General features: G+C 39.3%; 1 protein-coding gene across 11 annotated transcripts in view; it reads left to right on the top strand.

Moving 5' to 3' along the window:
* Positions 1 to 16,908, top strand: part of FRMD5 (FERM domain containing 5) — a 328,710-nt gene that overhangs the window by 86,200 nt on the left and 225,602 nt on the right. The window contains exon 2 of one of the 11 annotated variants that reach the window (NM_001286490.2): positions 11,744 to 11,815. The exons of the other annotated variants lie outside the window; for them this stretch is intronic. The gene's annotated coding sequence lies outside the window, so the exon portion shown is untranslated. The remainder of the gene's footprint in view (positions 1 to 11,743; positions 11,816 to 16,908) is intronic. 11 annotated transcript variants of the gene reach the window in all.

The raw sequence follows: 16,908 nt of genomic DNA, 5'->3' as shown, positions 1-16,908 counted from the left end.
TGAGAAGGGAGCAAAACCCTACAATGCAGATTGTTTCTTTTGAAATTTCTTTCTTTGCTCCTACCGGGAAAGCAGGGTCACCCTATTTGGTATAAGTGGCATAGAGCTTGTCAAGAGGTGTTCTTGGGGATATAGTCATACCCTGTTTGTGAGGGAGAATCCTGCAAGTTTGGTACCCTTTGATCTTCTCTGGGACAGCTGCAGATAGAAGGGCAAAAGTTAAAGAAAGGTTTTATGTAGAACCATTCCTATAAGACCCCCTTCTCATCTGGCTAAATACAAAGGTATTCACTAATGAAGCTTAACTTATCTCTGAAGCATTTTCATTTTAATAGAAGACTTATAAAGAGAAATATGAAAGGAAAAAATCAGTGAAGGTGGCCGAGTGTGGTGGCTCATGCCTGTAGTCCCAGCACTTTGGGAGGCCGAGGTGGGTGGATCACAAGGTCAGGAGTTCGAGACCAGCCTGGCCAATATGGTGAAACCCCATCTCTACTAAAAATACAGGCCAGGCGCGGTGGCTCAGGCCTGTAATCCTAGCACTTTGGGAGGCCGAGGTGGGTGGATCATGAGGTCTCGATGAGATCGAGACCATCCTGGATAACATGGTGAAACCCCGTCTCTACAAAAATACAAAAAATTAGCAGGGCATGGTGGCGGGCGCCTGTAGTCCCAGCTACTCCGGAGGCTGAGGCAGGAGAATGGCATGAACCCGGGAGGTGGAGCTTGCAGTGAGCCGAGATGGTGCCACTGCACTCCAGCCTGGGCAACAGAGCGAGACTCCATCTAAAAAAAAAAAAAAAATCAGTGAAGGTGCAGTGGCAGATAAGGGATTCCTTTTTTATTACATTTTTGTTTCAGTATTTTTTAAAAATTAGAAAGATTGAATTATGAGTTTTAAAATAGTACACAAATAATATAAGGAGTTCTTAACAGTCCCTTCAGGCTTTTATTCTCTTAAAATGATTTCTAAAACCATATAACAGGAATTTTTAAATAAAACTTCTAGTATAAGTTCACTATAATTCCTGTGCACTTAAGCAATATAGCACAACTTTAAAATACAAAAATAAGATATACTTCTATCTCCAGGGACTTCTGACATTTTTATATGAAAAGAGAGAAGTATTTGGCCAGGCGCTGTGGCTCACGCCTGTAATATCAGCACTTTGGGAGGCCGAGGTGGGCGGATCACGAGGTCAGGAGATGGAGACCATCCTGGCTAACACGGTGAAACCCCGTCTCTACTAAAAATACAAAAAATTAGCCGGATGTGGTGGCGGGCACCTGTAGTCCCAGCTACTCGGGAGGCTGAGGCAGGAGAATGGCGTGAACCCGGGAGGCGGAGGTTGCCGAGGTGGTGCCGCTGCATTCCAGCCTGGGCGACAGCACGAGACTCTGTCTCAGAAAAAAAAAAAAAGGAAAAGAGAGAAGTATTCAACAAATCAGTTTTGGCGTATGGGTTTCCTCGTGTTGACTTTTGAAATACTGATTGGTGACTGTCACCAACCAATATTCCCTAGCTCCTTCGTGCACCTCAAATGACTAAGAATGGAGAGAGTACTAGGAGTAGCATCTATTTCTTTTGCAGAGATTAGAAACAAGACGCTTCTTGCTCTGCTTCTTCAAAGGGTTCCGATTGGGTGATTAAGAACAACTTTAAATGTTTTGGAGTTGAGAGAAAGTTATGAGTCCTTTTTCAGCCTGAGACTTTTCTGTTATGAAGGAATGCATACGCAGTGAGCCTTCCAAGGATACTAGCAGTTGCTTTAAAATATTCTTAGGGACATTGTTTTATAGACAAGTCCCTTGAACCTGATGATCAAGAGAAATAAATTGATCGGGCCCTTGCAGGAGCAGTTTATCACCCTGGAATACTTTTGACAATTGCTGAAAATGCGTGCTGGCAGGAAGTTTTTTAATTACCAAAACCATCAGATCATTTGCTTGGTTCTTTCAGAGTCAGTGAAATATATGAGTGAGTAATGGAGTCTGTTCAAGAAAAAATTAGCTAAGCATTGAATCTGGCACTGTCCCTGTTGCAGATGGAAGGCCAGATGTTCAGGAGCAGTCACGAATCATCAGGTTCATATATATAGAAGCACACACATATATGTATGTTACATATATATGTATACATGAGAGTTAAAATAAGAAAGGAAAGATTTTGTAGTTCATAGGAGAACGTCATATTTACAGCAGGTTGAATTTCTGGAAAAGGCATTTTAATTAAATGGAAGTGGTTTTCTTAAGTTTAATTTGGTTTTCCTTTGGAAGTAGCATTATAATAGAGTTGTATGCTTAACTGGGGGAGAGATATCCGAGTCTTTATAAAATTGGTTATAAATGTAATATTTAATCAGCTATTAGTGATAGAAAAGGGCAATAATAGGCAAGCACTTTTCAAAGATTATACATTTTCTCATTTAATTTCTCACACTATTATCTTCATTTTGCAAATGGGGAAACAAGTTTAGAGAGATTCAGTAATCTGAGGAAGATCATAAGGCAAGGAAGTGCTAGAGCATGGCTTCATTAAAGGGATTAGAAAATGCTAACCTTTGAGAGTTTCAGGGTTAGCAGTAGCTAGAACGGTGAAAAAATATTGAAGCTAGAGATGGATTATAATGGAAAAGTAGAGATGGTCCACACTTTTTCTGTGTTAAGAGAGGTAATGGAAAGTAGTTGCCAGAGGATTGTATCAGTGATTTACTGTGTTGAATGGTAGTAAATTGAGGACTGTCTGTACTGCAGTTGTGAAATATATGAAGTCCTGCAAAAAGTAGACTTCTCAGAAACCTTGCAAGCAGTTTATTACAAACCTGAAGATACTCTTACTATATAATCTAGCAATCACACTCCTTGGTATTTACCCAAATGAACTGAAAACTTACATCCACACAGAAGCCTGCACGTAGCTGGGCATGGTGCTGTGGGCCTGCAGTCCCAGCTACTCAGGAGGCTGAGGCAGAGGGATTGCTTGAGCCCAGGAGTTTGAGGCTGTAGTAAGCTATAAATGCCTGTGAATATCTACTGTGCTCCAGCCTGGGCAACATAGCAAGACCCTGTCTCTAAAAAAACAAAAACTGCCTGTGGATGTTTATAACAGCTTTATCCATAATTGTCAAAACTTGGAAGCAACCAAAATGTTCTTCAGAAGAAAGGAGGTTATTTTACAAGAAGGTGAATAAATACAAAAAAATTACATACAAAAAATTTACAGTAAATACACAAAGTTACAAGAAGGTGAATAAATAAATAAACCATGGTACACTTAGCACTAAAAAGAACTGTGTTATCAAGCCATGAAAAGACATGGAGGAAACTTAAAGGCATTTTACAAAGTGAAAGAAACCAATCAGGTTGTATACTATATGATTTCAACTATATGACATTCTGGAAAAGGAAAAACTATTGAGACAGTAATGATCAGTGGTTTCCAGGGGTTAGGAAAGAAGGAGGGAACTTAGGTAGAGCAAAGAGGATTTTTAGGGCAGTAAAACTCTTCTGTATCATATGACAGTGATGGATATACGTCATTGTACACTTTTCAAAACCCAGAGAAAGTACACTACCAAGAGTGAACCCTAATGTGAACTATGGACTTTGGGTGATAATGGTATGTCAATGTAGGTTCATAATCAATGTATTGATTATAACAAATGTACCACCGTAGGGTGGGATGTCAATAGTTGGGGGTGGGTTTCATGTAGGGGGTAGGGGAGTATATGGGAACTCTGTACTTTCTGCTCAATTCTGCTGTGAACCCCAAATTGCTCTTAAAAAAAACAAAATTTATTAACTAAAAAGAAATAAAAAAGGAAGCAAAGAAAGAAGGAAAGAAGAGAAAGAAACCTTGCAAACCAGAAGATAATAGGTGACATATTTAAATGGGAAAATATTCTGTCAACCCAGAATTCTATAACCAGTGGAAATGTCTTTCAAAAATGAAGGAGAAAAATGGTAAATTTTATGTTATATGTATTTTACCACAGTAAAAGAAAGGAGAGATCAAGATATATAAGAAAAAGCTGGATGAAAAGAATGCAAAGAGCAAACAGTGGCACTGATACTTCATAGTTAATGTGATGAGACCAATTTTAGAAATTAAAAAATTATTCAAGGAACATAACCATTAATGATAATAGAAGACAGCAATAATATCACAATAGTATCTAACATTTTATTGAGTACATATTATGGGCCGGGCACTAAGCTGAAATGCTTTATATCTGGCAATGGCATTGGCAAACATTTTATTTTATTTTATTTTATTTTATTTTATTTTATTTTATTTTATTTTATTTTTATTTAGAGAGAAGTCTCACTCTGTTGCCCAGGCTGGAATGCAGTGGTACCATCATATTTCACTGTGGCCTTGAATTCCTGGGCTCAAGGGATCCACCCACCTTAGCCTCCCAAGTAGCTGGGACTACAGGCTTGTGCCACCATGCCCGGCTAATTTTTAAATTACTGGTAGAGGTGTCTCACTGTGTTGGTCAGGCTGGTCTCCAACTCCTAGCTTCAGAGATCCTCCTGTCTTGGCCACCACCCAAAGTGTTGAGATTACAGGCGTGAGCCACTGTGCCCAGAGGTTTTTTGTTTTTTTGTTTTTTGGTGTTGTTATTGAGACAGAGTTTCACTCTTGTTGCCCAGGCTGGAGTGCAATGGCGTGATCTCGGCTCACTACAAACTCTGCCTCCAGAGTTTAAGCAATTCTCCTGCCTCAGCCTCCTGAGTAGTTGGGATTCCAGGCATGCACCCACCACGCTCGGCTAATTTTGTATTTTTAGTAGAGACGGGGTTTCTCTATGTTGGTCAGGCTGGTCTCGAACTCCAGACCTCAGGTGATCCGCCTGCCTTGGCCTCCCAAAGTGCTGGGATTACAGGCATGAGCCACCGCGCCTGGCCTTATTTTTTTTATTTTTATTTTTTTAAAGAGATCTCAGAGTCTCTGGCTTTGGACTCCGGGGCTCAGGTGATCCTCTGATCCTTCCACCTCAGCCTCTCCAGTAGCTGTGACTACAGGTGTGCACCACTGCACCTGGCAAGGGAGACTGTTAAAAATAAAAGTCCAGACAGTAAGTATTTTCAGTTTAGCAGACTATTTACAATTTCTTTTGTCTATTATTCTTTTTTAATTTTGTTTTGTTTTTATACCTTTTAAAAATGTAAGAAACCATTCTTAGCTTGAGGGCTATACAAAAACTGTATGAGGGCTCAGTTTGGTTTAGTCTATAATTTGTTTACCCCTGGTCTAGACTTTAAGCTTTTGACCTCAGTGCACATGACTACTTAACAAAATCCAAACCAATTGCACATCCCTGAAAAGTCTGTAGAAAGGACCAAAGGCATATGGAAATTGAGAATTAATTGTCATATTTCTGTGGCTTTTGTTGCTGTAGGAGCAATGATATAACAAAATTAAAGAAGTAATTTAAATCATCTGTAATTCTACCACCCTAGCACAATAGCCAAATCCAAATTACTTTCCAATCCTGGCCTTTATGCAGCATATTTTAAGAACAGTAATTTTTAATGTATTTTCAGCATGTAAAAATAACTTCAGCATTTCTAATTTTAAAATCTCATTAACATTTTTTATATTTTAATGGAATGTTAAAAAATTTATCAGTTGAATTCCAATCATGCAGCTTCATGAGAGCTGTTGCTTTCCCCCCTCTAATCATATAACCTTTGAGCAGCATTTTTCGGCTGATAACTACAAATCAAGAGAGAATAGATATCCAAAAGAGGCAGAAGAGATGTGTAATAAAGAGCATATGAGGACTGAGAAAGATAAAAAGATGGGAGTTGTGTGGAATAGAATTGTTAAAGTGGTACATTTCCTACCCAAAAGATCAATTTTTACTTAAGGTTTCGTTCAGACTTTTGTCCTTCTGTGTCGTTCCTGTTTTTGGTTTTGTTGGTACAGAATTACTTTTAGCTTCTTTATTATTTTTCCTAAGACTGGTGATGTTTATACTACTTTATTACCACTCTTCCTTGGCTTTGCCTCTCTGTCCTCAGCTATTTTCTCTAGCTATGGTTAAGGTTGTATCCCCCTTCCCTTCCTTTATATCTTTTCATTTGCCTATCAACCTTCTCAAATATTTCGTTTGTGAATGAAAATACATTTTGTAATTTGTGAAACAAACAACCCACAATACCATTGTGCTGGGGCCCTGGGTGGTCCCTGACACCCTTTCAGAGAGTCCTTGGAGTCACAGATATTTTCAAAAAATGCTAAGGGTTATTTATTAACTTTTCTTTTCTTGAATTGATGCATATTTTAAAAATTTCTCAGTTTAAACATCTAAAATGGTAAAAATATACCATATATCATCCACATAAACAAAGCTCATTGATGTTCTCAGTCATTTTTAGCAGTGTAAAGGGGTCCTGAGACCAAAAAGTTTGAGAATGGCTAATGTATTTCATCAGCAAACTAAAAACATTTATTAAGCAGCTTTGTATTTTCAGTCCCAGTACTAGTTGTGTAGAATCGGTGGCAGAACTTTGCCTCACAGTTTAGAGGTGAAGACATACTTCTCAAAGGATAAGTACAGTTGGAGTCAGTAAGTGCAGAGATCTTACACACCACGGGAGTCCAGAGGGAAGTATACTTAACTTGTGATTATGTTACTGGTGATAGGGGAGGGGTCAGTGAGAGGCTGGAACCACATTTATTAAGCCTTCCTAGAGGAGGTGACCACTGAACCAATTATTTTAAAAATCAGAATGAGGCAGGTGAAGGATGGTTGTAGGAGGCCTTCTAGACGAAGCAGCAGGAGCAAAGACAGGGAAGCAAAGAGTGCAATATGTACAGGCAAACACAAGCAGGCCTCTGTTACTGCATGCAGGGTGGGTTTAAAGAGTAGTGGCAATGAGGCTGGAGATATGGCAGGGAACAGTTCTTAGAGAGTCAGTTTTAGCCTTTTAGGAGTTTAGACTCTATCCTTAAAGGGAAACCCCACATTTATTTATTTATTTATTTTTGAGCACATATGTGGTATTAGTTCGTCTTTCTATGCATGAAGAATTTGGCTTATTAAAATAATTTTAATTATTGGGTATCAGACCCATTTGTAAACAGAAAAATACAGTTAAGTGTTTTCTTAGGAAACAGAATGTAACCGTACTTTTTAAAACATCGTACAGCCATGGATTCAACCAACTGTGGATGGAAAATGTTTAGGAAAAAAACAAGAAAAAATAATAAAAAACCAATACAGTTAAACAACCATTTACATACATTTACATTGTATTAGGTATTATAAGTAACCCAGAAAGATAAAGTATATAGGAGGACGTGCTAGCTTATATGCAAATACTACTCTATTTTATATAAGGGACTTGAACATTTGGATTGTGGTATCTGTGGGGGTTCCTGGAACCAGTCCCCAAGGGGCAACTGTAGTGAGCTTAATAAGAAGAAATTGTGTGGTAAATACTCACCATCCATTTAGTTCTAATGGGCAGTAGTAATTATGGGTTTTCTTGTCGAAGCTAATGAAGGTAAAAAATAGGTCCATTTTTTTAAAGACTAAGTTGAGAACTAATAGAGCTAAAAGCAGTACAGGCATGAAAGGAAAAATGACAAGCTACAAATAAATAGTAGTAAAGTGAACTCTAAACCTTTAAATTCTCAACTCAGTATAAATGACAAAACATGTTACCAAATCTGCATCATTTTTATTGCCACCATTTAAATCTAACTGATGGTTTCCTACAACTAGCACACTAAAAAAAATGAAGAACAGAAATGTATTTCCCACAGTCTGGGAAGTTCAAGATCAGTAAGTTAGCGCCTTGGTCACTCTGCTTCTAGGATGGCACCTTGAATAGCACAGGTGTTTTAAAGAAATTTTGCCTTCCACACCTTTGAAATAATTTGAGCTGGGCACAGTGGCTCACACTTGTAATCTCAGCACTTTGGGAGGCTGAGGCAGGTGTATTACTTGAGCCCATGAGTTAGACACCAGCCTAGGCAACATGGCAAAACCCTGTTTCTACAAAAAATACAAAAATTAGCTGGGCGAGGTGTTGCGCGCTTGTGGTCCCAGCTACTCAAGAGGCTGAGGTGAGAAGATCACTTGAGCCTGGGACATCGAGGCTGCAGTGAGTTGTAACTGTGCCACTGCACTCCAGCCTGGGTGAGACCCTGTCTCAAAAAAAAAAAAAAAAGAAAAGAATTTGAGTGATATAGGCTCTTTACTACCATGTATGGTACTACTATGAAAGTTTTATCAGCATTATTCATGATAGCCAAAAAGTGGAAGTAACCCAAATATCTGTCAGCTGAGAAATGAATAAATAAAGTGTGGTATATCCATATAATGCAATATTGCCAATAAAAAGAAATATATGTTTTCTACATGGATGAGCCTCGAAAACGTTATGTTAAATGAAAGAAACCAATCGAGAAGACTACATATTGTATGATTCCAGTTACAGTCATGTGTCATTACTTAACAACAGGGTATGTTCTGAGAATAGGGTGATTTTGTTGTGTGAACATCATAGAGTGTACACAACCCTAGATGGCATAGCCTACTATATATACTACCCAGGTTATGTGGTATAGCCTATTGCTCTTAGGCTACAAACCTGTATAGCATGTTACTGTACTGAATACTATAGGCAGTTGGGACACAATGGTAAGTATTTGGGTATCTAAACATAAAAAAGTACAGTAAAACATCAAACATCTTTAACGTATGAAACATTAAAAATGGTACACCTATATGGGACACTTACCATGAATAGAGCTTGCAGGACTAGAAGTTGCTCTGGATGAATCAGTGAGTGAGTGGTGAATGAATATGAAGGTCTCAGACATTGATGTACACTACTATGGATTTAATAAACACTGTACACTTAAGCTACACTAAATTTATGTAAAAATTTTTTTCTTCAATAACAAATTAAGCTCAGCTTACTGTAACTTCATGAACTTTTAGAATATTTATACTTTTTGATTCTTTTATAATAACACCTAGCTTAAAATATAAACACATTGCACAGTTGTACAAAAACATTTAAAAATATTCTATAAGCTTTTCGCTATTTAAAATTTATTTTTACTTTTTAAACTTTGTTAAAAACTAAGGCAAACACACATTAACCTGGGCGTACACAAGGTCAGGATCATCATTATCACTGTCTTCAATCTCCATATCTTGTCCCACTGGAAGGTCTTCAGGGGAAATAACACACATGGTTAATGATAAAAAGTATAGTATAATAATACATAAAACAGTAATAGTCATTGCTATTATCAAGTGTTATTTACTGTACATAATTATATGTGCTATGCTTTTATATGACTGGCATTGCAGTAGGTTTGTTTACACCAGCATCATCACAAACATATGAGTAACGCATTACATTATGATGGCTATGACACCACTAGGCAATAAGAATTTTCAGCTTCCTTTTAGTCTTATGGGACCACTGTCATATATGAGATCCATTGTTGACCAAAATGTTGTATGAGCTGCATAACTGCATAGGCAAATCCATGGAGACAGAAAGTAGATTAATGGTTTTCCAAGACTGGGGAAGAAGGAAGTTGGGAAATGGGGAATGATTGCTTGCTAATGGATATGGGAGGATTTCTTTTTGGGGTGATGAAAATGTTCTAAAGTTGATTATGGCAAAGGTCGCACAACCTTATGTATGTACCAAAACCCACTGAATTATACACTTTAAATAGATGAATTGTATGGCATATGAGTTATCCCTCTATAAAGCTGTTTGATCTATCTGTATTTCAACAGTTAGAGTGATAACTTGAATATTGAAAACTTTGAAAATACATGTTGTGAGGGAAGGTAAAACGCCAAAGACTACATTTTACCAGTATATGTCTAATCAAAACTATTCCATAAAACTCCTTCCTAATTTGAATAGAATGATTTTTTCCTTTGAAGGTAAAAATCCTCTATATCTTTTACCATTTTATTAATATTTAATTCCTTCTTCCTTCTTTCTGGAGAAACTTTGGATTCTGACAGAGCTCCTTCTATACTGACCTGACAAGTTCTCAGAGACTGGTACTGTTGCAGCTAATGAGTCAAGTGGACACTCATGCTGGCTGTGTTCCCAAGACTATTCTTACATTAGGGCAAATGGCATGAGGACAATGCATCCAATGTATCAGGCACAAAGAGGTTTTTCTTCCTAATTGACCATGTGTGTCCTCCTTTCTTTGAATAATAGGAGGAAAATCTCCCTACCATGACTTTTGGAATTCCTTCCTTTCCCTCTCCTAGTACCCAAGGTTATGAGTGTAGGCAAGGCTTTTGTTCCAAAGCTGTCATCTCCTTTTATCAATTTCCCCTTTTCATTCCTTTTAGGTCTCCAAGCCTCAGAGCAGAAGGCTGTGACTAGTGAGCCTTTCTGATTTGTTTACTCATTCAGGCACACACAGTGAACAGCTGGGAGTCCAGCCAGTTTTGTTATACTGTTGCTTGTCTAAGTGATTCCCAAGTGAGTCAGTGAGACCTTAGGTCCAACTCTGACCATCCATTTGGTTAGTGGTTTGGGTAGGCTGTGGACTGGGAGGCTTTTTGAACTCTTACATGGTAGCTTTTGAGCCCTTACCCTTTTGTTCTGCAGGCAGAATGAAAGTCTGCTTGGGAACTCCTGAAAAGCCTCCCATCTTCAAACAAACACTATATTTAATTCCAAGCTAGGACAATTTCTTTCTTTCCTTTTCCTATGGAAGAGTAGTCTGTTTGTGAGATCTTCATTTCCATACCCTGATTTCTCCACAGCCCTGTTTCAATTAGCTTTTATTTCCATTGATTTGTCAGATCCGTTTACCAGAAGTACATTCTTAGATTGAGGACCTCCTTCATGCCAAAACCTTCTGTCCTCTTTTGACTTAACTTTATGTGATAATATTCCTGACAACTCCTTCCTTCTCAGAACTCAATCTTTCCTTGAGTGGAACTCAACTGATGCTTGTTGGATTTGACTATATTTTTCACACTGTAGCATCCAGGCTTACTTCTTACCTTTCAGCTGATTCATCTTTGTTTCTTGCATTGAACTACACATTCCTCACATTCTCTAATCAGAGTATTCTCTGAAGGTTCTACATGCCAGTGCATGATCAACTGCATCTGGTTTGTATTTAGACCTTGTGGTCCAGGGGAGTGGATATGTCCAAGAGGTTAAAGGTATGCAAAGAATGGATAATGGTGCCAAGTGGACTGCTTCTGCCATTGAGTGTGATACGGCAGTCACCATAAGAATAAATTACATGGCTTTCAACTAGTCAATAGTCCAAAGCTTTTCAACCCTGCAATACCTTAAGCCAGAGTTTCTAGACTTTGGTAGCGGTTTAAAATAGATTTCTGGAACACCTCCAAATCTGTGATTTAAACTGTCTTAAAGTTGGGCCCAGGAATCTGTGTTTTTGAAAAGCACCCAGGTGTTTCTGATAGAGTTGGTTCAGGCATCATTCTCAGAGGAAACAATGTCATAACCACCTTTCCTTTAGTAACAGGCTCCATCCCTAGAGATTTAGAAAGAACTAAGAGTAATCTGCAAAATATAGTAAAAGTTGCCTAGGACCTGGAATGTATCTACTTGTGAAGTAACAACAGTACTCATCATCTTATGTTTGTTCATCCTCACCTTGGGAACAAGTACATTCATTGTCATTTATAGAAAAGATCCAAAAGAAGCAGGCTTACCAGCTTTCATGATAAGTCTATTTTCACCTTCATAGGAGTTTCAGAATCATCTGTAAGAGGCCTGGAATCCAGAGGCACCCAAGGGAATTAGCAACAAGAAATACATAGTAAGTAGGTTAGTTAATGAGGCTATGGAGTTAGTATTGTTTTACAGTGTTTAAGATACTCTACTATGCCTACATTTTGGGAAAGATGTGTATCTTGTGACATTTGTACTTGATTTGGTTTGATTTCATACCCTGCCTGCTATCCACAAGCTTGCTTTATATTCTTTCTGGGGGAAAGCCCCTCAGAATCATGTGAATAGCTGCCAGGCCACAAAGCTGACTTCTCCACCCTGGCATCACAGAGTGGGAAAGACTAGTTTATTTCCTTCTTTTCTTTTTTCTTTTCTGTTTGTTTGTTGTTTTTTTTTTTGAGATGGAGTATCACTTGGTTGCCCAGGCTGGAGTGCAGTGGCGCGATCTCGGCTCACTGCAACCTCCGCCTCCTGAGTTCAAGGGATTCTCCTGCGTCAGCCTCCCGAGTAGCTGGGACTACAGGCGTGCACCATCACACCCGGCTAATTTTTGTATTTTTAGTAGGGACAGGGTTTTACCATGTTGGCCAGGATGGTCTCGATCTCTTGACCTCGTGATCCACCTGCCTCGGCCTCCCAAAGTGCTGGGATTACAGGCGTGAGCCACTGTGCCTGGCCCCAAGACTAGTTTATTTCTAGCTGCAGGAACTAGTTCCCTTGTTTAGGCCATTTAGTCTAATGAATAAAAAGAATTCAGAAAAACCGGGTTTCTTTCCATACAGCAACTTCTTTGGGAGGTAAAGAAAAAGAATCTTAGTCTCAGAAGTCAAGCTATCTGTGGTTCACATCTGCCTTGGGAGATAGCACCTCCTTGCACTGTGTCTCATTGATGGTTGTCACTTTCTGTTGTTACAAGAGAGCTTGGGTCCCATGTGAGGTCACTAATATTAATAATGTAGAAGTGGTTTTTAGTTCAGAGGAGCAGCTTGTCAACAGCTTGTATTTTTAAATATTGTACTAGGAGGAAGTATACTGTATTCATAGGGTATGTGCTTCTTTATTAGTAATCTTAATGCATTTATGAGCAGTTTGACATACACTAATTATTTATAGTGCTGTGGATTCCATTTGCTGCTAGGTGACAATGTGGAGAGTTGGGATGCAAAACTGTGATTAAGAAGCTATTAGTTGGCCTGGCACGATGGCTCATGCCTGTAATCCCAGCACTTCGGGAGGCCAAGGCGGGTGGATCACCTGAGGTCAGGAGCTCAAGACCAGCCTGGACAACATGGTGAAACCCCCTCTCTACTTAAAAAAAAAAAAAATTTAGCCGGGTGTGGTGGCACATGCCTGTAGTCCCAGCTACTTGAGAGGCTGAGACAGGAGAATCACTTGAACCCGGGAGGTGGAAGCTGCAGTGAGTCGAGATCATGCCACCACACTCCAGCCTGGGCAAGACAAGACCGAAACTCCATCTTAAAAAAAAAAAAAAAAAAAAAGAGAAGAAGAAGCTATTAGATACAGTCAGGATGACTGGATTTCAGCTTTTGTGTGGCTAGACTCAGAGTGTAGGGGGGCTTTCAGAGTGCTTGTTAAATGCTCTGGGTTAAATCAGAAAGAAGGAAAGCTAGCAAAAATTGCTTAATCAGAATAGTTCGGTTGAACTCATACAAGCTTATCTTTTTAGATGTTGTGGAATTCTTTGCAACTCTATAATTAATTCCAGATTGTTCAGATGTATTTCTAGTGCCAGAGATAGTGTTGTGGCTGCCTCCATAGCAAGCCTAAAAGTACCCCAGAGCTGGCCTCTTTATGGTACTTGCAAGTAGAGGATAAAAGATGTATCTTTTTGTATCTTGGATACTGGTGGCCCTTGGCAACAAACAATCTCCATCTCTCTTGAGGGAGTCAGGATGCCAAGCAAATTTTGAGGAACAGATAATAGAATAATGATATGAATCAAAATAGGGGCCAAGAATCCCAAATTCACTTCTTCCTTCCATTCTCCAGAACCCATGATTGCAGTTTCCACATTTTTTTTTCAGTTTTAACAGTCTCCTTTTTCATAATCATATGATGGGAATTCATGTGTGTCAAAGAGATTACTTGGACATTACCACCTCCAAGAGAGGTCATGGTAGATTGTCTTACTGTTGAAAATGTGGTCCATGGATCAGCAGAAGCAGCAGCAGCATTACCTGGGAGTTTGTTAGGATTTCATAATCTCAGGCCCCACTCTAGACCTACTGAATCAGAATCTGTATTTTAACAAGATCCTCAGGTGGTTTGCATGCATGTTAAAGTTTGAGGAGCATTGGTAGAGGGAACTGTGGCTATTTATTTTATTGGTCATGTGCATACTAATTTCCCGACCTCTCTTGATTATTAAAATGACTGTGAACTTACTAGAACTACAACATATTGATGTGAGGGAGGTGTTTATATGTGAAGGTGATTGGCTTCCATGCAGAAACCATGTAACACCCAGCCTGAACAGTTTCTGATGAGGTTGCCCTTAACCTAGGAAACTGAAAGATAATGTTGTCGTGTTTTTGATATATGACTGCTGTCCTGCTCAACTTTATAAACATGTCCAGGAGGTGGGGAGCAGTTTGCTACTCTTCATTTGCAAATCAATTATCTTTATATAAGTAGCAAATAGTCTATTTTAAAAGCTCAAAAGATAATTTTTAAATGAGAATTTGCTTTGCATGAAGTGTGTAGATGTTGGAAAAAGGTGACTTTGTCTAATTATTCTAATATATGAAGTTTAAAGGAATTAAGAGAATGTAAAAAATGGAGGCAGTAAAACGTAGAGTCTTCTTTAAGTCACAACTGTGACAGGGTCTCTTCAAGAGGCATCAGAAGTGACAAATGACCATTGGTGAGGAAATGGTACATTTGCAGTTTGGGTTCATAGTTTTCTAACTCTGTGGATAAAGAAAGACTCAAGGCTCTGACAGAAACTAAGTCATAGATTGCTTTTCTGCTTATGTCTCTCTCTCTCTTTTTTTTTTTTTTTTGAGACAGAGTCTTGCTGTGTCGCCAGGCTGGAGTGCAGTGGCATGATCTCGGCTCACTGCAACCTCTGCCTCCTGAGTTCAAGTGATTCTCCTGCCTCAGCCTCCCAAGTAGCTGGGACTACAGGCATGCACCACCACACCCAGCTAATATTTGTATTTTTAGTAGAGATAGGGTTTCACCATGTTGGTTAGGATGGTCTCGATCTCTTGACCTCGTGATCTGCCCGCCTTGGCCTCCCAAAGTGCTAGGATTACAGGCGTGAGCCACTGCACCCGGCCTTGTATCCCTTTTAGTAGAGAGTATGCTTCCTGTTCATTGAAGAGTCAGGTGACAGAGAGTAACATAATCATTGAAGCTTGGACTTTTTATTTAGTTTTTTGTTGTTGTTGTTTAGTTTTTTTTTTTTTGTTTTGTCACTCTGAACTTTTGGGAGCATGGCATTACTTTCTGGCTGCTTTAGGCATTTGGCTCTTGCTGATGCACATAACACAGGGTCAGGCCAGGTTCATGCTGCTGCAGGTCCTTTCTCCCAGACTTTAAGAAGATGACATTTTACATTAGGATGCAGTAAACATGTCATTCAAAGGCCATTCTGCAGCTCCTGGAGCACAAAGACTTGCTGAGTTTGCCATGATTGCATGCAAATTTTTGAAAAGTCAAATGCATGTATAAAACAGTTTGTCAGGCTGCTATTGGAGGAAAACAAGAACAAGTTGAAATCAATTGTTTGGGAAGAACATTTTGGCATGGTTTCTCTGAAGTTGAGTAAACATAATTTGTCCTATGTACCCATCTGGGCACACAGTAGCAGTCCTTCTGCCCACGGAAGGAGTTTGCACACATTAGACAAATTACTAGTCTGAATCTCCAAGACACAGATAGACGGTTCTGTGTGTGTATATATTTGTGTTTATACACTGTAACATATTATTCTATATACAGTGTTAAAGGCAGAGCCCTCCCCGAGGTACACTGCTTTCTTCAGAGCTTCCCTATAGTCTGCTCTGGTAGCACCTCCTACTTCTTTTAAGGTTAGTACAGGAGCCCCTCTTCTTGTCTGGTTGACCTGGACACTTTCATAGCCATGTCATTCTAAGGGTTCAGGTCTGACCCAGATAAGCCCTAAGGCCCAGACTGCTTGTCTGAAGTCTCCCAAGAGCACAGTTTTGCAGAGGCAAAGTGAGGCTTTGCTAAAGGCACTTCAGAATTTTTCTACAAAGCTTGCTGTTCCTACAGGTGAGGGTAGCTGTTTTTTTCTCCCCTTAGGTTTACTTTACTCTCACTCATCAACTCTGGCAAAGTGGATTTAACCATCAGATGTATTCTTTATTTCAGAGAACAAAGTGGTTTTGTTGGACTTCTTGTTCTCTCACTAGCTTTTGTGAAGGAAAAAAATCCTGCATGTTCCATACTAAAATGATAGCATTATAATTTTGCATCATTACATTATTTAACTGTTATCAGTAAATCTATGAATAAACTCTTCGAGACATCCATTCTCTACTTGTGTTTGTTGATTCATTATCATGCTTTTTGTACTTTCCAAAGCAGACCCCACATTTTTTGTATGAAGCATCAATAAGGGTGAGATATGGCAAGGGTCACTCACCATCATCCCTGCTTATCACTGTCTCCTTTCTTGCTCCTGACATTTTTCAGTGAGTAGTACCCCTGTGTGACAGCTGGAATACAGAGTGGTGACTGCACATTGACCTTAAGAACACATTTGTGGTTGTGAAATGGGCTGGGTCAAGGACTGCCCTCCTGCAAATTCCCTTCTACAAAATTTATTTTAAAGATACACACTACTAGGCTGGGTGTGGTGACCTCACTTACAAAGTGCTGTAATCCCAGCACTTTGGGAAGCTGAGGCGGGTGGATCGCTTGAGGTCAGGAGTAAAAGACCAGCCTGGCCAACACGGTGAAACCTCGTCTCTATTAAAAATACAAAAATTAGCTGAGTGTGGTGGCTCATGCCTATAGTTCCAGCTACCCAGGAGGCTGAGGTAGGAGAATTACTTGAACCCAGGAGGCGGAGGTTGCAGTGAACCAAGATCACACCATTGTACTCCAGCCTGGGCAACAGAGCAAGACTCTGTCTAAAAAAAAAAAAAAAAAAGATACACCGTACTAGATTGATCCTTCAGTAATACACTG

This window comes from Homo sapiens, chromosome 15 (assembly GCF_000001405.40).
Source record: "Homo sapiens chromosome 15, GRCh38.p14 Primary Assembly".
Taxonomy (NCBI): domain Eukaryota; kingdom Metazoa; phylum Chordata; class Mammalia; order Primates; family Hominidae; genus Homo; species Homo sapiens.
Note: the sequence above shows the minus strand (reverse complement) of the source record. Positions and strands in the feature narration are given on the sequence as shown.